A 25,383-nucleotide genomic window follows, 5' to 3' on the forward strand; every position below is an offset into this window, starting at 1 on the left:
GTATTATGGAGCTATGAGCACCCTCTTAATTTCTCTCTACCAAGATTTCCCTTGTTTTTGACAACACTCTAGAAATGAAATTCTCCATGCTGTGCTCCAAATGAAGTCAGTCTCCTCAGGCAGAGCTACAGCAACCTGCTTTTCCCCCTCGGCTAAAGCTCTATGCCACTGCCGAAGAGCTCAGGGTGGGAAGAGAAGCCTACTGCTAGAGTGACGAAACTACTCTATGAGCAGACATTAGGAAATGATAGTGGCCCGTGGTTTTTCTAGATTGACCCTTCTAATATGGGACTCTTGTCCTACCAGCAAGCTGATCAAGAATGATTGGAGTGCAAAATTCTTGGCCTGCCACGTCTGAACTATAACTGCTGTCCTTAAAGTGGGGGCTAGGTGGAAGGAGCACTAGTCCTCTCTGAATAGAGCTTCTGCAACATGGGGCTTGTAGGGGAGGATAGAAAACGTTAGCAGTCCACTCCTTCCCAGATGATTCCATAAGATGGACCTGGCAGAGAAGTGTCATGTCTCAAATGTCACAGACTATCACTGTTCTTATTGAGATTTAGTAAATATACTTGAGTGTATATTTCTCCAATTATTGTAGGACAATTTCCAGAAGCTTTAAATGATTTTTTAAACCGTAATTTTCTTTAAGTAAATGGTTGCTTTATGGGGGAGAAAGTCTGCTGGTCTCCCCCTTCCATCATGCCAGAAGTTGGTTTTCTGTCCTATCTTTTAAATGTCATCTATGAGCTCATGATGCGCATGTGCCTGCCTCTAACCTAGCCTTTCACCTGGACACCAGACTTCCATATCCAGCAGACAACTTGTCATCAAGTAGTTTTGGTTTTTTTTCCTCATAAATGTTCTCTTCAGGCCTTCTTTATCTCAGTAAATGAAACCGCCATCTACCCAGTTCATCAACTCAGAGCCTGAGCATCAGCCTTAATACCTCCCTCTTGTCAACCACATGTAATCCATTAGAAAGTTTCATTGGGTCTGTCTCTCAAATATGCCTAGAAACTGCTCATTTCTCTCCAGTTCCATGACTACTGACTCTGAATCATTCCCCTTCACTTGATCTATTAAAATAGCCTTTTAATGGGCTGTCTGCTTTCACTCTCACTGCCCCTCCAATCTGTGCCTCACACTACCCTCCGAGTGATCACTGTATGTATATTTCCCCTAGACATATGCTTTAACCCTGGCTTCAGCCCTGTAGGAACTGGCTGCTCTTTACCTCTCCTTCCAATCTCATCTGAAGGCCCTCCCTTGACCTGTGTATTATAGTCACATGGTCCTCTTTGCTAGCGTGCTTTCCTTTGCGTGGAACAGTCTCCTCCTTCTCCCTTTGCATGCTGGCATTCCTCCTCTTCTCTTCTTGTTTTAGCTTAAATGTCACCCCCTCTAAGATGCTTTCTAGGTGGCTTCTCCTTTGTTGTTCTCTGTTGTTTCAGCCCATTCATTTCCTTTACAATTCTTGACATGGTTTGTAATTATTATTTGTTTAATGATTTATTCTCTGCTGTTCCTACTAGATGGTAAACTCCAGGACAGCAAGAACCTCATAGTTGTTTTGTTAAGAACCCTGAAATAAACACTTACAAATAGTAAGAGCTCCCACTTACCAAGCAGTAAGTATTTTCAAGAAATGTTCTAAAATATATATGAATATATATGTATATGCATACACATATTTACACAAAAATATGCATACACATATACACATGTGTATACATTTATATACATATACACTCATGTGCACATTCATGCAAAAGCACACACTCATTTAATCTTCACAACAATCCTATGAGGTAGATACTTTTATTATCTTCATTTTACAGCTGATTAAACTAGAGCACTGGGAGGATGGGTGACCCGGCCCAGCATCACTCAGTGAGCGAGCTGCTAACCCAGGTTGCTCCAGGGTCTATGCTTGTAAGCATTTCAGCTGCTTCTCAGTGCAGTGACAGGAACAAAGTGGGTACTCAGTTAATATTTGTAGAATAAATAAACAAAGGGTAAAACAAAATGGAGATGTTATCATCCCTAAGAACAGTGCTGTTCAGCAGAGCTTTCTGAGATGATGGAAATGTTCTACATCTGTGCTGTCCTATACAGCAGTCACTAGACACACATGGCTACTGAGCACTTGGGATGCAGCTAGTATGACTCAGAAAATGAATTTTTTGTTTTGTTTAGTTTTAATTATTTAAATTGCCATATTGTGGCTACTGACAACTATAGTAGATAGTGCAATCTAAGATTTTTGAGATGGTATCACTGTAAATGCCTTGAGGTTGACAGTCTTGATAAATCGAACTCCAAAGACTGATCACAGAATTCTCCTCTGCATTTTTTTCCCTAGTGTCCTCTCCCCCCTAGTTCTTCAAACATCCTTTATCCTCCCACTTTACTTCGTTCCAGCTGATTGAACCAAGCCTCCTTTCTCACATGTGGCACTAAAGCCATTTTCCCTACTCTTTCAACAGTGCCCTGAACAGTCCCTACAGAAGCAGTGAAGTAGTCAACAAACATCTCATGTCTACTTGGGATGGAGCACTGGCTCAGGTCCTGGGGAGGAGTGGAGGGGGACACAAAGACAAGTAAGACAAGGTACCTGTCTAACGGTGAAGTGGGGGAGTTAGACTTATACACTAACTCATAGTAAGGGCTCGGTCAAAAGGATGGTGTTGGGGGAGGGTGGGTGTCCAGGTCTGTAGACTCAGAATTCAAAACTGGGGTTCTGGAGTGCCCGCTTTGCAGAAATTGCTGTAAAATGTCACCAATTTTACTCACACTTGGACTAAAAGAATAAATGAAGTCATGGCTTACTTTAAAAACTGAGCTTATGACAGACACGAGACAGTCTTACTGACATCTAGAAAGAGACAACTGGCCTGGATAGAGGGAGCTTATATTTTTTACTCTAATGGCAATACTACTTTTTACAGAAAAAGAATCAAAGAAATAGTAAATAAAAATCAGACTGACTCGAATATTTAAAAAGAAGAAAAAAAGTAGTGCACGTTAATCCTCCAATTCAGGGGCAATTACTATTCATATTCTCAACCATATGTAATAACTGGGGTAGTGAAAATGCATTTCTTTCCTCCCACCATTTGCATACTTGGAATCTCACTTACATTGCATGTAGGTTAGAGAAAAAAGATGCTGCTTTGTTTGGATTTTGCTTTTGCTGTGGAATCCATTAGACAGCAATGTGCTTTGTATGTCAAAGAGTAGAAAGGCTCCATTTCCTCTTTTCAAAATGTTTTTAGCAGAAGTCAACCACTGTATTTATTCCATGAAGTTCTCCATTTGATTACTCAGTGTGTGCTAGCCACAGAAAAGCAGTGATTTTTTTTTTTTTTTTAACCACAAAGGACTTTCAATCTTAGGATGAGTCTTATAGCATCATACTTTGAAAGTGAAATTTTTAGGCAGTTATCTAAATGTCACTCTATAAGAAGCATTTAAACGCATAGCAACACCCAGCTGATGTCTAGGAACTTCATTTTTCATACAGATATATTATCAGTGCACTGGTGGAGTGACTGCGTCTTTGATTTCCCCAAACTTCCTCAAGTTTACTCTTTTCAAAAAAAGTAGCTCCTTATGTGCAAAATCAAATGAGATTTCATTTTGATGCCTCTCTAAGACTTTTCTTATAAATTACACCACAGATTAGAAGGAAAAAGAAAACCCAAACAGCAAAGAACTAGATCAACTCTTCCAGTCTACTCTAGACTGAAGAAAATAGCTCCTAAGACATAAACTCCCTGCTTGTGTGTTAACACCACACTTTCCCAAAGTGTGTTCCTAAGAACACTAGCACCATGGGTTGTAACACAAAGAAAGCATTCCGTGGTGAATTCCATGAGGAATTGGAATCTTTTTTAAGAGGCAATGGAATCTTTTAAGACTCCATTTTTTAAGAGAGGAAATGGAATCTTTTTTAAGAGACAGGGTCTTGGTCTGTCACCCGGGCTGGAGTGCAGTGGCATAATCATAGCTCACTGCAGGCTCAGACTCCTGGGTTCAAGTGATCCTCCCACCTAAGCCCCCTGAGTAGCTAAGAACTACAGGTGTATGCCACCACACCTGGCTAATTTTTAAATTTTTTTGTAGACCTGTGATCTCACTATGTTGCCTCGGCTGCTCTGAAACTCCTGGCCTCAAGTGATCCCCCCTGCCTTGGCCTCCACAGTGCTGGAACTATAGGTATGAGCCATTGCACCCAGCCAGGAAATACAATTTTCGAAAGACTAAACAAGTTTCTAAAATCATGGCACAATTAAGTAGCAAAATTAGAATACAGAGTGGGCTTGTTGGAAAGCGTCAACTATTAATCACCATGCCATACTTTTGAGGAGCAGACCCCACACTTGTAACCAGGCCCTTCAATTTATCATTCCTGCAAGTCAAGACTTCACCTGTGAACCAGCTGCCCTCTGCCAGCCCAACTTCGTGGATGTGCAATCTCTACAGTTGCACAGGGTCCCGTGTTTAGTTTAGTACTTTGCTTTTGCTATCTTTAAATACTTAATAATTTTTAAACAAGAGATTCCATATTTTTATTTTGCACTGAGCTTCACAAATTACAAAGTCAGCGCTATCCACAGTACCCAAGCTATAATTAATACAAAGCTTTAAAAGCTGCATGGAGTTTAGCTGAAATTGCTGCCCAGTCCGAAGCTAATTTTGGAAGATGCTGTTCGGTCTTAGGTTATGAAAAACGGTTCTGCCCTTTTACAACTCCAGCAGGAAGAGCTAAGCTCCCAATATTCCGTCCATTAATGTCCCTGGTGAGAGTCTTCAAAACTCACGAGCAACAATGCAAGAATTTCCCAGCCTTCAACGTGTGACCCACTTCTACATTATTGACTCCAATAAACTGACCAATTAAATGTTTTTGTGGTCACAGAACTTGTAATTATGTGGTTAAAGATGTTTCAGATATATCACATTCTTTCACACTGTGGCAGAAACTATTGGTTAAATAACTCAGCCATGTCTATCTTCCTTGTCCAATCTGCACAAAAGAGACTGGAAAAAAGCTGGACACTTGCTTCTTTCCCATCCTCCTTTGCAGGTAAGCATCGCTGTGTGACTTAGTTCTGGCCAATGAGATGGGAAGGCAGTCTTCTGGGATGCAAAAAGCTTTTTTCTTTGTTAATAAAAAGGAGAATGCCTCTATAGGAAAAGATCTTTTTCAATACCACTCTGTTGCCCATTTCCTACCTTGATGTTGTTTGGAGCTACGGCACCCATCTTGAGATAATAAGGTAAAACACATCACTAGGAAAAACCAACAGCTGAATTTAGAGTAGACAGGATGGAAGGGACCTGGTGATATTGTGGAGCAATGAACGAATGCTGTCGACTGCCTAGTTAACCTATTACTTGTTTAAATCTCTGATAGGCTATATTTTTAAAATTTTGCAACCAGGGTTATTCTTAGTCTAAGCATGCAACTTTGAAAAATGTGATCCCTTTGACAAGATAACAAGCCTTCCATTACCTGCTGCAGGTGACCCAGTTTGCTGGCTGTTGTGGGTAGCTCAGAACAGGACCCTAAGGCACCTTGGCCCTCCCTCTGCTTTAAAACTCAACACCAAACTGTATTCATTCTTGTGGTACTGCCTGTGTCTTAACATGCATCCCAACATCTGGCACAGAGCCTGGCACTGGCAACCTCTTAGGAAATTTGTTAAATGAACTGATAGTGTAGCATTCTGTCACTTTCCTCAGCGATAAAATTCTCATTCTTCAAAAAATTTTCCTTTTGCAACTGAATTTAAAAATGAAATACCTACCACCTACCACTTCAAGCTTTGCTAGGTGACGGCTTACTAAAAAAAAAAAAAAAAAAAAAGGAAAAATACTCTTGTATGATGACTGAGGAATACTGAGTGGAAAACTGATTGGTTTCTACAAGGCATCATTGGTCCTTGCCAGTGGCCAGTAGGATGTGGTTGGTGTGGTGTGGTGTGGAGTGAAAGAGAAGTCAAAAGCAAAGGCTATGGTGCCAAAATACTTGGGTTCAACTCCCCGCTCTGTCACTTACTTACTGGGCGCCTTTAGCAAGTTTTCTCTCCTCTCTGAGCCTTGGTTTCCTTATTCTAAAACGGGGAGCGTATCTAAGAAAGATTGTAGGAGGATTAAATGCATGAGAGAATGAAAACCTGTAAAGTGCTTACCACAAGCATGATACTTGGTAAGTATTCAATAGACTTTAGTTATTGCTTTTTATCTCAAGTGCTACCTGGGACTTACCTCTCAAAAATTTTCAGACCATTGAACACATCTAATATCTATCTTAAAGAAGGCATACAATAAATATTTAATAAAAATTAAATTAAAAAAACTGGTAGGTAACCATGGATCATCTCTAGAGATGATCATCGTATCAGACCTACATAGTATGTTAGAGCTTGGGGTCTGGAGTCCGACGGCCCGAATCTTCCTCACAGTCCAGCTTTCAGTGAACCTCACAGTGCCTCAGTATCCTTAATTGAAAAACAGGAATAATAATAGTACCTTCCCTATAAGGGCTTTAGAGAAGTGAGTGGGTTCTGCCTAGTATCTGACACAACAAGTAGTCCATAAAGGTTAGCTCTTTTTAATCCATCCCACAGGAAGCTCTGATGTGCTATGCTGGGTAGAAAAGTATATCTTACAAAAATATCCCTGTTTTGCTCTCTGAAACCCTGTTGAAACCTTTTGACATTCAGCTACATGTTAAGCCCTGGGCAACCTTGGAGTTCTTCCGCCATCTGTGTAACTGTGAATCTTAACGTGCTAAGTATACAACATACACACATCACCTCTCATTTAATAAAGCAAATTGTTCCACACAAGGGTAGCAGAGCTCTCGTTTGCAAGCTCAGATCTAATTAGCTCTCTCAATACAATTTGCAAGTTGCATCCAGGCAGATCACTGGGGAGCACTTGCTCTGGTGAGCTAAGAGGAACTGTAGGCCCATTCTGTAGTTTGCCGCAGATACTGCATATGGTAGCAAAATTGTGTCTATTTCTTCCCCTGTGAAATCCTAAAAGCAGCTCTTCCCAGCTGGCTGCAGCTACAGACATCTTCCTTCCTTCCACTGTTAGAAGAGGATTGTGGGGGTTTAGTAACAAACTTTTATGTATACTGGTAAGGCGAAAAGGAGCAGGTGCAAAAGAACATCTTACACAAGGGGTGAAAGAGTCAACAGGCAGAACCAACCCTCACTGAGGTTCCTGTGGCAAAGACAGAGAAATTAAAGGGAGGTCAAATGAATACCATTTGTGGGCAAGAGGCAGATCTCTTGCAGGTAGATGACAATGGTATGTGAAGGAACTGTATTCTAGGACAACTAAGCATAAAGAAATAGTGGGAAGCAGAATCCCAACTCAGAGGGAGAGGATGAAAGAACATTTATTACATTTCCCTACCCAGTGTTCATGCTGTCCCTGTTTTGGTAGAGAAACCTTGCTGCCCTTTGAGGAATCTTCTAGGTTATGTGTTTAAGGTGTTGCAGAAACTGTTCCCTGGACTGGTGGGGGTGGGAGGGACAAATGACCCAGGTCCAGCCAGAGGGAATTTTTTCAGCTTTTGCTGAAGTAATTTAGAAAGTCACTTTCATTCTCTGTGGAAGCTTAAGCTGGCAGGATATGCCCCCAGGGCTGCTGGGGACATCCCAAAAGGAATCTGCTTGAGAATGAAACCAATGCAGAGGAAGGAGTGAAGAGGTGAAGAGAGGCAGGTCGGTTGGATCATTGTTCGGGAATCTGTATCCAGCCAGCCATGCATCCCCTGGACTTTTCCGTCACAAGGCTGGTAAATTCCCTTTTTGCCAAACCCAGTTGGAGTTAGTTTCTGTCACTTCTGACTCATCAGTGAGGTAAAGGGGAAGACATACCTATTTATAGTATGTGGCACTTTTTCCTCAACCACCAAGTCTTTAATAGGATCTCTATCTTGGTCTACAGTGACCATATTTTCCCAACCACTTCCCTATAGAATTAGGATATCTGCCCAAACAGAATTTTACTAATAGAAGGGTAGAACAGAATGTTCGAAAATCAGAACTATTCTGAAAATCCGGGACATGTGAAGGAAACACACGTCCTGAGAGTCATAATCACACAGTCTCGTTACCTGAGTGAACTCCTGAGGCATGCATTTCAAACTCACATTTCTGCATTTGGTAATTGGGCTAAAAATATCTTGCTCATACTGTCTGGCTAAAGAATGAAACACATTGCTCAAGGAGCCCTTGCCCCACCTCTAAGCGAGCTAGTCAATGTTTGGACCCTGCAAAGAGTCCCAGGTGGAGAATTCAGCCCTCCTGCCATCTTGGCCACTTAGGAGTGACTCAGCTCAGTAACTTGGTTCCTCAGCATCTCAGTAGCTACTTGACCCTGTAGAGGTGACATGCTATGCCTTAGAAAGGTACTCGTAGGAAGCAGTGCCAAGCCACATTTGTCTTCAGAGATGATCTATCTTCAGTTCTTAAGAGTAGGCAATTGGCAAGGGGAGCATAATACTTTAGCTTCTGGTATAACTGATGGAATCATTATTATTATTACTATTATTATTATTATTATTATTATTATTATTATTATTTTGGAGATGGAGTCTCGCTCAGTTGCCCAGGCTGGAGTGTAGAGGCACAATCTCGGCTCACTGCAACCTCTGCCTCCTAGGTTCAAGTGATTCTACAGCCTCAGCCTACCAAGTAGCTGGGATTACAGGTGCCCACTACCACACCTGGCTAATTTTTGTATTTTCAGTAGAGACAGGGTTTCACCATTTGGCCAGGCTGGTCTTGAACTCCTAACCTCAGGTGATCGGCCTGCCTCAGCCCCTCAAAGTGCTGGGATTACAGGCGTAAGCCACCATACCTGGCCATTATCTTGCTTTTGTGATCAACAGGACGATTGCTGGATTAAGCACTTACTGTGTACGAGGCACCATGTTAAACATTTTACATTTACCAGTTAAATATTCATAAAACCCCATGACATAGGATCTACTAATGTCTCCAATTTACACATGAGAAAACCAAGACTCAGAGTAGCTGAGCAAAATTTACACATTAGCAAATATTGGAGCCAGAGTTATATTCTAGAGTCATCCCCTCTTCCTCCCATAGACCATGTTCTTAATGCTTACTATTATATATTCAGACTCTTAAAAGAACTTTGCTATTCTTACTTTGGACCATACGATTTTTAAAAATTTTCCCTGCTTTGGGGTTGCAACCCTAGTCTCTGATAAAACAGACTTTAAACCAACAAAGATCAAAAGAGACAAAAAAGGTCATTACATAATGGTAAAGGGATCAACTCAACAAGAAGAGCTAACTATCCTAAATATATATGCACCCAATACAGGAGCACCCAGATTCATAAAGCAAGTCCTGAGGGACCTACAAAGAGACTTAGACTCCCACACAATAATAATGGGAGACTTTAACACCCCACTGTCAACATTAGACAGATCAGCGAGACAGAAAGTTAACAAGGATACTCAGGAATTGAACTCAGCTCTGCACCAAGCGGACCTAATAGACATCTACAGAACTCTCCACCCCAAATCAACAGAATATACATTTTTTTCAGCACCACACCACACCTATTCCAAAACTGACAACACAGTTGGAAGTAAAGCACTCCTCAGCAAATGTAAAAGAACAGAAATTATAACAAACTGTCTCTCAGACCACAGTGCAATCAAACTAGAACTCAGGATTAAGAAACTCACTCAAAACCGCTCAACTACATGGAAACTGAACAACCTGCTCCTGAATAACTACGGGTACATAACGAAATGAAGGCAGAAATAAAGATGTTCTTTGAAACCAACAAGAACAAAGACACAACATACCAGAATCTCTGGGACGCATTCAAAGCAGTGTGTAGAGGGAAATTTATAGCACTAAAAGCCCACAAGAGAAAGCAGGAAAGATCCAAAATTGACACCCTGACATCACAATTAAAAGAACTAGAAAAGCAAGAGCAAACACATTCAAAAGCTAGCAGAAGGCAAGAAATCACTAAAATCAGAGCAGAGCTGAAGGAAATAGAGACACAAAAAACCCTTCAAAACATTAACGAATCCAGGAGCTGGTTTTTTGAAAGGATCAACAAAACTGATAGACTGCTAGCAAGACTAATAAAGAAGAAAAGAGAGAAGAATCAAATAGACACAAAAAAAATGATAAAGGGGATATCACCACAGATCCCACAGAAATACAAAGTACCATCAGAGAATACTACAAACACCTCTACGCAAATAAACTAGAAAATCTAGAAGAAATGGATAAATTCCTCGACACATACACTCTCCCAAGACTAAACCAGGAAGAAGTTGAGTCTCTGAATAGACCAATAACAGGCTCTGAAATTGTGGCAATAATCAATAGCTTACCAACCAAAAAGAGTCCAGGACCAGATGGATTCACAGCCGAATTCTACCAGAGGTACAAGGAGGAACTGGTACCATTCCTTCTGAAACTATTCCAATTAATAGAAAAAGAGGGAATCCTCCCTAACTCATTTTATGAGGCCAGCATCATCCTGATACCAAAGCCTGGCAGAGACACAACCAAAAAAGAGAATTTTAGACCAATATCCTTGATGAACATTGATGCAAAAATCCTCAATAAAATACTGGCAAACGGAATCCAGCAGCACATCAAAAAGCTTATCCACCATGATCAAGTGGGCTTCATCCCTGGGATGCAAGGCTGGTTCAATATATGCAAATCAATAAATGTAATCCAGCATATAAACAGAACCAAAGACAAAAACCACATGATTATCTCAATAGATGCAGAAAAGGCCTTTGACAAAATTCAACAGCCCTTCATGCTAAAAACTCTCAATAAATTAGGTATTGATGGGACGTATCTCAAAATAATAAGAGCTATATATGACAAACCCACAGCCAATATCATACTGAATGGGCAAAAACTGGAAGCATTCCCTTTGTAAACTGGTACAAGACAGGGATGCCCTCTCTCACCACTCCTATTCAACATAGTGTTGGAAGTTCTGGCCAGGGCAATTAGGCAGGAAAAGGAAATAAAGGGTATTCAATTAGGAAAAGAGGAAGTCAAATTGTCCCTGTTTGCAGATGACATGATTGTATATCTAGAAAACCCCATCGTCTCAGGCCAAAATCTCCTTAAGCTGATAAGCAACTTCAGCAAAGTCTCAGGATACAAAATCAATGTGCAAAAATCACAAGCATTTTTATACACCAATAACAGACAAACAGAGAGCCAAATCATGAGTGAACTCCCATTCACAATTGCTTCAAAGAGAATAAAATACCTAGGAATCCAACTTACAAGGGATGTGAAGGACCTCTTCAAGGAGAACTACAAACCACTGCTCAACGAAATAAAAGAGGATACAAACAAATGGAAGAATGTTCCATGTTCATGGGTAGGAAGAATCAATATCATGAAAATGGCCATACTGCCCAAGGTAATTTATAGATTCAATGCCATCCCCATCAAGCTACCAATGACTTTCTTCACAGAATTGGAAAAAACTACTTTAAAGTTCATATGGAACCAAAAAAGAGCCAGCAATGCCAAGTCAATCCTAAACCAAAAGAACACAGCTGGAGGCATCACACTACCTGACTTCAAACTATACTACAAGGCTACAGTAACCAAAACAGCATGGTATTGGTACCAAAACAGAGATATAGATCAATGGAACAGAACAGAGCCCTCAGAAATAACGCTGCATATCTACTACTATCTGATCTTTGACAAACCTGACAAAAACAAGAAATGGGGAAAGGATTCCCTATTTAATAAATGGTGCTGGGAAAACTGGCTAGCCATATGTAGAAAGCTGAAACTGGATCCCTTCCTCACATCTTACACAAAAATTAATTCAAGATGGATTAAAGACTTAAATGTTAGACTTAAAACCATCAAAACCCTAGAAGAAAACCTAGGCAACACCATTCAGGACATAGGCATGGGCAAGGACTTCATGTCTAAAACACCAAAAGCAATGGCAACAAAAGCCAAAACAGACAAATGGGATCTAAATAACTAAAGAGCTTCTGCACAGCAAAAGAAACTACCATCAGAGTGAACAGGCAACCTACAGAATGGGAGAAAATTTTTGCAACCTACTCATCTGACAAAGCGCTAATATCCAGAATCTACAATGAACTCTAACAAATTTACAAGAAAAAAACAAACAACCCCATCAAAAAGTGGGCAAAGGACATGAACAGACACTTCTCAAAAGAAGACATTTGTGCAGCCAAAAAACACATGAAAAAATGCTCACCATCACTGGCCATCAGAGAAATGCAAATCAAAACCACAATGAGATACCATCTCACACCAGTTAGAATGGCGATCATTAAAAAGTCAGGAAACAACAGGTGCTGGAGAGGATGTGGAGAAATAGGAACACTTTTACACTGTTGGTGGGACTGTAAACTAGTTCAAACATTGTGGAAGTCAGTGTGGCGATTCCTCAGGGATCTAGAACTGGAAATACCATTTGACCCAGCCATCCCATTACTGGGTATATACCCAAAGGATTATAAATCAGGCTGCTATAAAGACACATGCACACGTATGTTTACTGTGGCACTATTCACAATAGCAAAGACTTGGAACCAACCCAAATGTCCAACAATGATAGACTGGATTAAGAAAATGTGGCACATATACACCATGGAATACTATGCAGCCATAAAAAATGATGAGTTCATGTCCTTTGTAGGGACATGGATGAAATTGGAAATCATCATTCTCAGTAAACTATCGCAAGGACAAAAAACCAAACACCGCATGTTCTCACTCATAGGTGGGAATTGAACAATGAGATCACATGGACACAGGAAGGGGAACATCACACTATGGGGACTGTTGTGGGGTGGGGGGAGGGGGGAGGGATCGCATTAGGAGATATACCTAATGCTAAATGACAAGTTAATGGGTGCAGCACACCAGCACGGCACATGTATACATATGTAACTAACCTGCACATTGTGCACATGTACCCTAAAATTTAAAGTATAATAATAAAATTTAAAAAAATTAAAAAATAAAAAAAATTTTGATATTTAAAAAATAAAAAGATAAAAAATAAATAAATAAAAATTTTCCCTGCTTTTCCTGAGCTGTAGAATTTTTATTTTTATCACTTGAGAACTTTTAATAATAAATTTTGGAAGTAACTGATTAGGCCCAAGCATAGGAGGAGGACACAACAGTAATATTTACTTAGTGCCTTCCCTGTGCCTGGGACTGTGCTGGACTTTGGGAATACAGCAGAAAACAAGGTCTCTGGCCTCATAAGCAGCACAGATAGAGAAGCAATCACAAACGCAGGCCAATTGTGTTCTAGGGGAAACTGAGGATTAGAAAGTCAGATGCTTTCATTCTGGTATCTGCTTGCTGTAAAGCCAGTTGGTGACAGACACTTGGCAGAATTGTTTGCCCTTTGGGACCTCCATTTTCTAATCAACGAGGGTAAGCTAGATGATCTCCAAACCCCCCTCCAGCACTGCCAGTTGTTGAGTCTCAGACTCTCTTCCTGGGTTCTTCAAGAGTAAGCTATGTAAGTAAACACATGCTAGAGTATAGCTGTCAAATATAGTGAATATCAGAAAAACCTGGGAGCCTGTTAAAAACAAAAACCTCCAGACCCATAACCAGAGAGCTGGATCCAGAAGCTCTGGGATGGGGCCAAAAATCTGCATTTTTAATAAGTCTCGCAAGAGATTCCGATGCACCAATTCTGGTTTGAAACCCTAGTATTCAAAGCAATGGCAGCACAAGGGACCTTATCAGAAATGGAGAGCTGGGGCCCTGTCCCAGATCCACTGAATCAGAATCTACATTTTACTTTCTTTCTGTATGGATGCTAAGTTGATAATGTATGTGCCCAGGGATGCTGGGGACACTCTATGGGAACGATGCTTATGTACACTGAAATGTCCTTAGAAAGGGTCCAACCTGGTTAATCTCAATACCATGATCAACACTGATACCAAAGAAACCACACTACCCCTTATCTATTAGTCATTAGTTTAGCTTTTCTGATGGGAGGCTTTCCGAACCAGGAGAAATGTACAACTGCTCCTCTTGAAAGCATGGTCTGGAACAGTGTTTTTCAAATTACATTTGGCAGAGCCTTAGGCTTCAGTCTTACAGGGCCACCTGGGGATAGGGATTGTGTGACGCAGCCTGGACTGAGCTGGCCTCCAGGCTACAAACTCTATTTCAAACAGAACTGCTCCTCTTTGATCAGTTTTAGAAATTGGGATTACAGTTTGATTCCCTTTGAAAAGAGAGTTTCGCTGCTTTAATATTTTTCTCAATCAGCATGGTGCTCCACAGGCTCCATCAATGCCATTGGTACCTTTCCCATACAAGCCAAGAGATGGGCTTAGGGAATGAACCTGATTCCCTTTTCCTCTGTGCTTCCCTTGGGGACAGAGATGTGACCTTCAAAATGTCAAAACCCACTCCTGTTCCCAGGAGGACTGTTAAGTTACTCTCCCTATTCTATTTTAATGTTCAATGACCAAGGCAGATGCTAATGTGGAAAATTCTCAATTTGTCTCATTTACCATTCCTATGTTTGTCCTCTAACAAAAGTTCCGTATATCTTTTCTTATAAACCAAAAAGTTCCCACCGGTCATTGGAACTTTGATATTTAACATAAAAAGCAGTAGTCTGGATCTTTCTTTTTAGACCAAGTGTTTTGGGGATGTCTTCAGTGATTAGTATTGCTTGGTGGTCTAGATTTAGAGCCTCAGAATTCACTTAAGTGAGAAAGTGCAAGAGACCCACTGGAATCTTGGGAGTAGGATCCAGGTATCAGCACTTTATTTCAAGGTCCCTAGATGATTCTAATGTGTAAATGAGGTTGAGAGCCATTGCCCAGTAGACTAGATTTGGAAGCACTAGAAATTTAGTCCTGTAAGACACATGCTCACCAGTCCTCCTTCTTCCTTTCTTGGTCCCCTCTCCTGTGTCAGGGGACCATTTATTCATTCACTCACTCATACATTCATTCACTCACTCACTCACTCATTCACTCACTCATACATTCACTCACTCAACAGTTACTCAATAGTCATCTGCTATGTACTAATTTGGGACTAGAAATTAGAAATTCACAAGTCTTGTCCTTGTAGAACTAACAATACTACAAACAAAATGATAATTTTTAAAAAGGTTTTAGGTATAAATATGAAGCTATAAAGAAGGCAAAATAGGGTGTCAGTATAGTATGTAGACATAGCCTCTCTAAGAAGGTGATATCTGGGTTTGGGGGTGACACCCTAATTCTAAGACAGGAGGAGCTACAGGAAGATCTGGGGGAGCAAAATCTTAAACAGTAAGAGTAATAAGTGCCAATGTCCCCAAATAGGAATGAGCCTTGTAAATTCAAAAGACACATAGAAAGGTCAGGGTGGCTGTAGCAAAGGGAATGAGTGAGGAGTAAAGCACAGAAGGAAATGACATCCTGTGGTAGCTGAGAACCAGTTTGCATAGGTCTTTGCAGACCATAAAAAAGGTAGTGGAAGAGATAATATCTTAAATAACTTTAACAGTGGGAAAATATCTACTCAAAGACCGTACCAGTCACATGAATCATGGCCTATATTCTAATGCAATGGTTTTCAGTTACATTTTACTTGAGTTTTTGGAGGGGGAGGAGCAGAGTTGGTACTGTTCTTGGGGACACACACGAGAACTGCCTGGAAGAGTTCTTTCAAGTTCTATGGCATGCATCACCCATCTTCCCCATAGATGTGATTTTTTTTTCACACTGCCCTAGTGGTGGGACCCCTACCCATACTGAGCAACTACTCCTCACAGGAGTGGGATATATCCAGTGGCATCCAAAACCAACCATATTCATGCTTAGGATTTTCATTCACCCTGAACTGCAGTCCAGTTCATTCACTCTAAGCTTTAGACATCTGTACTCTCTGAATCTCTCTACCAGGAGGTCCCACAGCACCTCAAACACAACAAGACCAAAATTCAACTTATCTTTATCCATAAAATGGCTGATTTCTCCTCCTATAATCTTTTATGTCGGTATCACTATGACTCCAAATTAGCACGTAGTGGATGTTCACTAAATAACTGTCACATGAACAAATGAATCAACTTCTGGACCCAAGAGAGAAGAGACTAAGATAGGAAGGAGGAGGGCTGGTGAGCATATGTCTTACAGGACTGCATTTTCAGTGCTCCCAAATCTAGTCTACTGGGCATTGGCCCTCAACCTCAGCAGCACATTCGAATCATCTAGGGACCTTGCAATAAATATTGATGCCTGGATCCCACTCCCAGAAATTCCCGTGTAATTTGTTGGGGTGTGGCCAAGGCATCATGAGTTTTCAGAGCTCTCCAGGTGATTATCATGTGCATCCCAATTGAGACCCACTTATTAGCTGTTACTAAACCTGAAGTGATCTTTTCCTGGGCCTCTTGCATCTTCTTTCTTAATTGAATTCAGTGACACTCTAAATCTAGAGCTACCAAACATTGCTAGTCACTAAAGACAGCCCTAAAATGCTTGGACTAAAGAAAGATCCGGATTGTTGATATTACCTTAAGTATCAAAATCCCCATTGACTGATGGGAGCACTTTGATTTATAAGAAAAGGCACATGGGGCTTAGGAGACAAACTAGCATGGTATATGAACTCTCCCTTACCGCCTCCCTCACACTTTCCAAATTTTCACAGAAGCCTCCCTCACTACATTCAGTCTTAGAATAGGAACATAGTTTATTTTTGTAAAATCAAACAAATTCACCAAATATTCCCTCCTTTGCTGTCATTATTGTCATTTTTATCTTAGCAGGCTGCAAATATCCTATGAGCACAAACCAATACTGCTTTTATATCTGTTAAAAGAAGGATCAAAATTACTGCACCATGCCTGCTAAACACCTGCAGGCTTTGGAATCACATAGGCTGGAGTTCAAATATCAGCTCTATTATAATTTAATCGGACTGGAGGAAATCACTTAATCTCTGTTTCCTCATCTGTAAAATAAGCATAATGATAGCCCTATCTTACAGAGATTTAGTGAAAATGAAATAACAAATATTCTTGTTTTCTATTGAGGCATAAAAATTACCAGCCAGGTGGGGTGGTTCACGCCTGTAATCCCAGCACTTTGGGAGGCCAAGGCGGGAGGATCACGAGGTCAGGAGATCGAGACCATCTTGGCTAACACCATGAAACCCCGTCTCTACTAAAAATACAAAAAAATTAGCCGGGTGTGGTGGCGGGCGCCTGTAGTCCCAGCTACTGGGGAGGCTGAGGCAGGAGAATTGTGTGAACCTCGGAGGTAGAGCTTGCAGTGAGCTGAGATTGCGCCACTGCACTCCAGCCTGGGCGACAGAGCGAGACTCCATCTCAAAAAAAAAAAAAACAAAAACAAAAAACAGAACACACAAAACCTCTGCTGCTCAAATGCTCAGGGAAACTGATTTGAGTAATAATAAAACTCTGGGCAGGGCACGGTGGCTCACGCCTGTAATCCCAGCACTTTGGGAGGCGGAGGCGGGTGGATCACGAGGTCAGGAGATCGACACCATCGTGGCTAACACGGTGAAACCCCATCTCTACTAAAAATTCAAAAAATTAGCCAGGCGTGGTGGCATGTACCTGTAGTCCCAGGTACTCGGGAGGCTGAGGTGGGAAAATGGCTTGAACCCGGGAGGCGGAGCTTGCAGTAAGCCAAGATCACGCCACTGCAGTCCAACCTGGGCGACAGAGTGAGACAACGTCTCAAAAAAAAAAAAATTACCCCAATATTTACTGGCTTAAAACAATTGATCTTGTATGGGCGAGAGAGTGAGACAATGTCTCAAAAAAAAAAATTACCCCAATATTTAGTGGCTCAAAACAATTGATCTTGTATGGTTCAGGGAGTTGATAGGCTCGGCTAGGTACTTCTCCCTTAGAGTCCTTTACATGGTTGCAGGCAGTGGGCATTTAAGCCTGGATCATCTGATGACTTCTTCACTCATATGTCTGGTGTCTGGGCTGGGATGGCTAGAATAGCTGATGGTGTCTAGCTAGGTTTCTCTATTCTCTTGTGGCTACCCTGGGCTTCCTCACAGCATGGTGGGCTCAAGGTTGCTGACTTCTCATATGGCAGCTGGCTTTTCTCTGAGTGAATGTTCCAAGAGAGAGGAAGTAGAAGCTGCTAGTCTATTAAGCCCTGGAAACAGCCACAGCATCGCTTCCTCCATATCCTCCTGCTCACTGCTGTTACAGTGCTCAACTGGCTCCAAAGGGAAAGGTCAGAGACTTACCTCTGAATTGCAGAAATGTTGATAAATTTCTGGCCATGTTTTGTCCACCACAATGTATAAAGTCTGTGGTGCAATGTCTGGAACATCTTAAGTTATAGTATTTCAAACAGAATATATTATAATAGTAACTAAATATTATCCTAATCACCTTATACTAATGTCCCTTAATATTTTTATAAACATAATGGAATATAGTATCAGCAACTGTGGGGAGGAGGGGACAGGAAAGAGTGACGATTATAATCATTGAAAAGAAACATTTACCTCCTTGTCTGAGGCACTGAGTCACCCTCAATTTGTTGGGCACCATGGGACTGCAGGAAGTTGCTGTCATAATCCTTCCAATGCAATCATTGTGAGGTCGCATAGAGGAAGGGGCAGCCAGGGAGACTCATCTCATTGCCAGTGCAGGATGTGCTGAGTGCCTTTGTGTAAAAGGTGGCACCATCAACAGGGAATAGGATGTGCCAATGTGACAGTGACTCACTGAGTGAAATCATGGCTTCTAAGGTTCTGATGCCTGCTAGGCTGGGAGCAATGAGATCGGCCCAATGTCCTATCCCCTCCATGGAGAAATCAAAGAAGTTTAGTCTCAGGACATATATTCGGAAAGGAGAGAACTTGCTGTTTCAACTACTTTCATCATATAAGAGTATTGTATTAGTCCCTTTTCATGCTGCTGTGAAGAACTGCCTGAAACTGGGCAATTTATAATGGAATGAGGCTTAATTGACTAACAGTTCTGCATGGCTGGGGAGGTCTCAGGGAATTTGCAATAACGGCAGAAGGGGAAGCAAACATGTCCTTCACATGGCAGCAGAAGATAGAAGTGCAGAGTGAAGTGGGGGAAAATCCTTTATAAAATTATCAGATCTCCTGAGAATTCACTATCATAAGAACAGCAGATGGGAACCACCCCAAGATCTAATCAACTCCCACAAAGTCCTTCCCCCAACACGTGGGGATTGCAATTCAGATCACAATTCAAGATGGGATTTGGGTGGGGACACAGAGCCAGACCATATCAAGTATCATACCAGATTCTTTTTAGGGCAAAGATGATTTACTATTTTTCTTGAAATGCATTATGATAAAAAAATCAAAATGAGCCAAGCTAAGCAAGTAATATATTAGGCTTAAAGATAATTCTTTGTGATGACCAAGTCGGGTTTGTCCCAAGTATGTAAGGTTAATAGACATTAGAAAAGCTAATTGCTATAATTCACCACATTAATATATTGTAATAGTCTCTAAAGGTGACCTTTGGCATCACATCCCCATGAAATTCCTCACTCACTGAATATGGGCTGGCCTGTGACTTCTATAACCCATTCAACATGGCAGAAGAGAAGCTGTGCCTATTCCAGAAGCATGCCTCAAGAAGGCTTGGCAGTGTTACTTGTGCACTTTGGGATCCCTTAGCCACCATGTAAGAAGTTCACCTATCCAGCTGGGAAGACCTTGTAGAGACCACGTAGAGAGAATGAGGTCTGAGACTACATGGAAAGGACAGCCTCAGTCATTTCATTATACCAGCTATATTGAGACTTCTAGCCATCCCAACCAAGGCACCAGACATGTAATGGGCCATCTTGGACAGTCCCACATCCAAATTAAACTTCCAGATGTTTGCAGCCCCAGACATTGTCTCACTACAATGGCAAGAGAGCACCCAAACAAAAGCAAAAGAACCATCTTGCTGACCCCTTTCACCCACAGATTTGTGAAACATAATAAAAATGGTAGTTATTTCAATCCACTTACTACTTGCGTAGTTTGTTGTAAAACAATGGACAACGATAACATATTAAAAGAAAAAAATGTATAAGGTTATCTTTAAGCTTATAGAGAACCCATTTGGAAAAAAAAATCTACATTTATTCATGATTTTAAAAAATTCTGAAGCAAAACTTGGGATCAGAGAGTTAATTTCCTTCATCTGATAAAATCCACAACACCCCATTATAAGTGATAGCAAATCCCCATTTTGAGATCAAGATAAAGACAAAAATGCCCACTATTACCACTTTTTATCAGAATTATACTGCAGGTTCCAGTCGCTGCAGTGAGGCAAAGAAAAGAAAAAGCATAAAGATTAGAAAGGAAAAACCAGAATTGTCTTATTAAAATGATACTATTTTATATGTATGAAATCCCAAAGAAACTTCAGATATATTATTTTGATTAAGAGATAAAATCTGGATAGAAAATCAATACACAAGAATCAATTATAGTACTATATACTAGAAACCAGAAGATAAACAATTAAAAAGACAGCATTCATAATGGCATCAAAAATATGTGAGAATAAGTCTAACAAAAGAGTTGCAGGACTTGAGTAAAATTATAAAATGTTATTAATAGGTATTAAAGAATACCTAGATAAATGATCTTAGATTGGGAGCCTCGATACTGTAAATATAAAATTGTCCTCTGATGAAATCACAATGAAATTCCCCAATTTTTTTGCCCACAACAAGCTGATTCTAAAATGTATATGGAGTTTCAAAGGATAAATAAGAGACAAGAACACTATGAGGGGACATCCCCTACCACGTATCAAGAGTGACTATTAAGTTAGAAGTAACTGCAGTCAGAGATAGGCCAAAATACCAGTGGGACACTGCAAGTTCAGTGTTACAGCCTGTGTTACAGCCATTTGCTGAATGGCAGCGGTTACATGGCAGTTTGGTAGGGAAAGTACAGACTTTAATAAATATTGCCAGGAAAATTGAGTATTCATGTATTTTTTAAAAGAGAAAAAAATCACACATCTATTTTACACAATATAAAAAATGATTTTCACACATTTTTATTTTTCAAAAGATGAGAAAAAAGTTACACCTGTTTCACACAATACACAAAATAATCCAACTAGTTTAGAATAGAAGAGGATAATAGGAGAGGATAAACTATAGAACTTAGAAAATAATATAGAGGAACATTTTCATGAGTGAAAAGTAGTAAAGAATGTCTTAAAACACAAAAATGTTGACTCTAAGGAAAAGATTATAGAGTTTACTACATTTTTAAAAAACTGTTCATCAGAAAGATAACTATTAAAAGATTGTAAAGATGAGCCATCGATTGGGAGAAGATATCTGAAACCTGTATAACCAACAAAGGGCTCCTTTTGAGAAGATATGAAGAACTCTTCTAAATCACAGGAGGGACGATACAATAGAAAAATATCTGCAAAAGACTCCAGTCTCTTCCTTTATAAAAGAGGAAACTCAAATGACCAATAAATTCTGTGCATGAAAAGGTGCTCAACCTTATTATGAACCTGGAATATGTATATAAAAACAAAAATGAAATACTTTTGCTTATCTAATATTGACAAATCACTTTAAATTGAAAATACCAAATGTTGAGAGAATGTAAAACATTGGGAACCCTCATACACAGCTGGTGTAAATGGTACTTTTTTTGTTGTCTACTCAAGCTGAAGACAACTTATCCTCAATTGTTTCAATCTTGGGTGTGTACTTTAGAAAAATGGGTACACACATGCCCTAGGATTATTGTAGCCTGTAATTGTGCAAATCTGGGAACCCATCCCACATAGAATGGAAAAATTATGGCATATTCATACAATGGTATGCTATGCAATAATGAAAATGAACAAGTTACATAGATAAGTTTAACCAACATATACGGAACCAAAGAAGCCAGACACAAAAATATGAATCCATATCCATAGAAGTTCAAAAATGAACATTTTGGGGGATTCATTTATAAGAGGTAAAATGAAAAAGGAAATCACAATGGTAGTCCCTCCAGAAGAACAGGAGGGAGTTTTGAAGGAGACAGGCTCATGGACTGCTGGCCATGATCTTTTACGAGCTGGGATTGGTAATTATATTGGTATTTATTTTTATAATTATTTCAACTAACTATACAAATGTATGTATATGTACTTTCCTGTGTGTGTGTTATATTTCATAATAAATGAAGCAAAAATAGTACAAAATCAAAGATGTGTACACAAATATTTTGTTATAAAGTATTAACTATAACTATGTTTATTATAGGGGGAAACCCCATACTTTGAATCACTACTTTGGATTATGTAAAAGAAGGGATCAAATACATCACGTGGCACACAGAAGAGAGGTTATACAGCCTCTAGAAATTATAGAAGAATATTTCATGGCTTCTAAAGATAATTGAGATATATATTTAGGTGGGAGATGATGTTTATCATACATTATGCACAAATATTTCAATGTTTTAAAACAAACTTTGAATGCTAATGCATGAAAAAAGATTGGGAGAAACACATTATAATGTTAACTATGATTCTATTTGGGTGGTGACTTTATGAGCAATTTTTGTTTTGTTTTGCTCGTTTGTATAGTTTTAATTCTGAGCAATGAATATGGATTACTTTTGAAGGAAATAAAAGGAGACAATATATTCTACTGGGAAACAATAAGGAAAAAAGAGCCTAGAGATCTCAAAATGGAAATAAGAAATGTGGTATTCGTTAATATGTCTATCTGGAAAACACCTGGAATCCTACCAGCTCCGATGAGCCCATTTGAATATAACTTTTCCCTAACAGTGGCCACCCACTTGGTTCCCCTTTCCCAGCAGGCGTAGCTCCGATAGTGAAATCAAATTCTGGCTGTCTGCTTTGGAAGTAAGTAGGGCAGTGGGGTGGGGGAAGGTGAAGGGATCCTCTGAGAACAGCCTGCTCCAAACTGAAAGGAAGTGAAAATCCTCCACATGTTGCAGGGATTGCTGGTAGATCATCCCCCAGTTCTCCTGCATCTGTTCTGCTGCCTCTTATAGAAACCAAGACAGGAAAAATGAAATGTACCTAAAACAGGAAATGAGGGTAGTCATTTGAATGATACAGTACCAGAACCCTGTAAAGTGTTTTGGGTGGGGTGGGCAGTGAAACAAAAGGCACCAATCATAGTGCTCACATCTGATCTCACACTCGGAAAAAGTAGGTACGTGAAGACAACAAACGATGGTGAGTGGAGAGGACTCCAGAGTCAGCACACACACATTCCCAATAGCCAGGTGGGTTCAACCGCTGCATACCTGTTAGCTCCTCAGGGTGGAATTTCCCAACTGCTGAGCCATGGTATGCTGGTTTTCCCTATGCTATTGATCCCCTCAGCCCTAGAGGTAATGGGCCAGCACTTCTGACAGCACTCTGGGCCAGCACTTCTGACAGCAGGCACTTCATAAATTAGTAAAATAGAGGAATTGACAGAATATTTTTATAGCAGGTAAAGAAAGTAAGAAAACATTAAGTGGGAAAAAGAAGTTAATAGCCATTAGCATGCAACTACTATGATTTTTATTATCCTTTTCCATGTAAAAAGACATATAAAGAACTAGGAAGCATTAGAACTACCATAGGTCATCCTCTCATTAAATAAAGTCCAAAAAAAAAAAAAAAAAAACAACAAAAAAAAAAAACAAGGGCCAGGGGGTGGGAGTTGGAGAGGGGCTTATAGCTCAAGGTACTATTTTTCTGTGGAAGGCCCGTTACTGTTAATACGTGTGCTATAAAATAAAGAGGAGTCAGATGAATTTGGGGAAAACCAAGTTTTTTAAAAGGTATATGTCATTTCAGGAATTCCTAGGGCCTGTAACTGATAAAAATATATTGCGACTTTCCACAAGCAGAAATAGCATAGAATTATTGCGCCAAAGCTTTTCGACCATAGAATATCACCTGAGGAATACGCTTTGCAAATTGCTACAGTAATCTCTCTCTCACTGCTGCACCCACGCTTCACTGAATGTGTGGTGTAGAATGGGTTCTGATCCTCTCCCACCTGATGATATGGTTGTCCCCACACTGGCTTTTTTCTTTTACTTATGGCAAGCGATCGGCCTGATAAAGCTGAAACTACTAATGGGCTATTCAGGGGCTTTCATCCACCTGAGTCCAAAGCCTTTGCAAAATGACTTCCCGGAACTCAGAGGCAGTCTGCAGCTGGAGCAGTTAGCACTTCGCCAGAAAATAGTTTGTCTTCGTTTTCAGTGTATTTTTCTTTTCTCAGAAGAAAGAAAACAAATAGTCTCAAGTAAATGAATAGAGGAACATGCAGAATTCTCTTTAAAATGGCAGCTTCATGACTTTGCCAAATAAATGAAGATATATTTTAGACATGTATACTCGCTTTACATCTAACTGTGATTTCTTGTTACTTTGCTGATTTTCTTTGAAAATGGAATATAAATATTCAGTAACAGGGATTGTTCTGTTGATGAAGTCTAGTTAAGTTGTAATAACAACTAAATTGATTAAGAACATAGGGCTAAGAATCATGTAGCCTCTTAATCTCACTTTTTCTAAGCTTCCAGGTAGCCCTTTATTTTGCAGTAATGGAAACTCCAGCCATCTGAGCAGAATTCATATGAAGTCTACATGCCAAAGAAATAGAATTTTGCATTTATTTTCTGTTTTCTACTTCCACTTGGAAAGTATCTTTTTCCCCCTAGAAACACATTTAAAAGGGTATAAAAGGGGCTTTCTGTTTGGGGCCAGAACCAGAAAAGGAAAGACAATGGAGAAAAAAAATATTAGCTCAGCTTTTCCGGACTTGAAATAATGTGTGATTTTTGCAGTTTCTCCAACTTTTGAGACTAGGTCTGGTAGAATGCTTAATTCTTTCAGCTGGCGAATCACCTTTCCTCTATGGGGATATTAATGCCCAGTTAAAATTTCTCCATACGAATAAGGAAAAAAACATTTGAATACAGCAGAGCTGTGACTAGATTGATAAATAAAATCATTCTGTCCCTACCCCATTAATTCTCCCTTTCACCGTTTGGAGGTCCTGTGGGCTGAAGCAGTACATCATTTAAATAGTACCTTCAGGTGTTTCACTGAGACCTAATTAAAATTGATGTTGTCATCTGGTGTTTCCTTGTGCAATTTGTCTAGCTCCATGCAAATTGCAAAACAGAGCTCTTGATTAGGACTTTGTCCTTCTTCAAGAAACTGCCCAAGATTTCCTTTAGGTGCTCCAGAAAACGATTTGGCCAGTTGGGAAAAAAAACTTAAGAGTCACTGCGTTCA

General features: G+C 40.0%; 2 long non-coding RNA genes across 6 annotated transcripts in view; one reads left to right on the plus strand and one right to left on the minus strand.

Annotated features, from left to right (window-relative positions):
- Window positions 1-6,565, minus strand: part of LOC105377124 (uncharacterized) — a 99,923-nt gene extending 93,358 nt beyond the window's left edge. For all 5 annotated transcript variants that reach the window (XR_007095948.1, XR_007095946.1, XR_001740437.2 and 2 more), the window contains exon 1: window positions 6,420-6,565. This is a non-coding gene — a long non-coding RNA (uncharacterized LOC105377124). The remainder of the gene's footprint in view (window positions 1-6,419) is intronic.
- The window catches only part of ADAMTS9-AS2 (ADAMTS9 antisense RNA 2), a 326,599-nt gene that overhangs the window by 284,814 nt on the left and 16,402 nt on the right, over window positions 1-25,383 (plus strand). The gene's annotated exons all lie outside the window — the stretch shown is intronic.

The sequence above is a fragment of the Homo sapiens genome, chromosome 3 (genome assembly GCF_000001405.40).
Source record: "Homo sapiens chromosome 3, GRCh38.p14 Primary Assembly".
Classification (NCBI taxonomy): domain Eukaryota; kingdom Metazoa; phylum Chordata; class Mammalia; order Primates; family Hominidae; genus Homo; species Homo sapiens.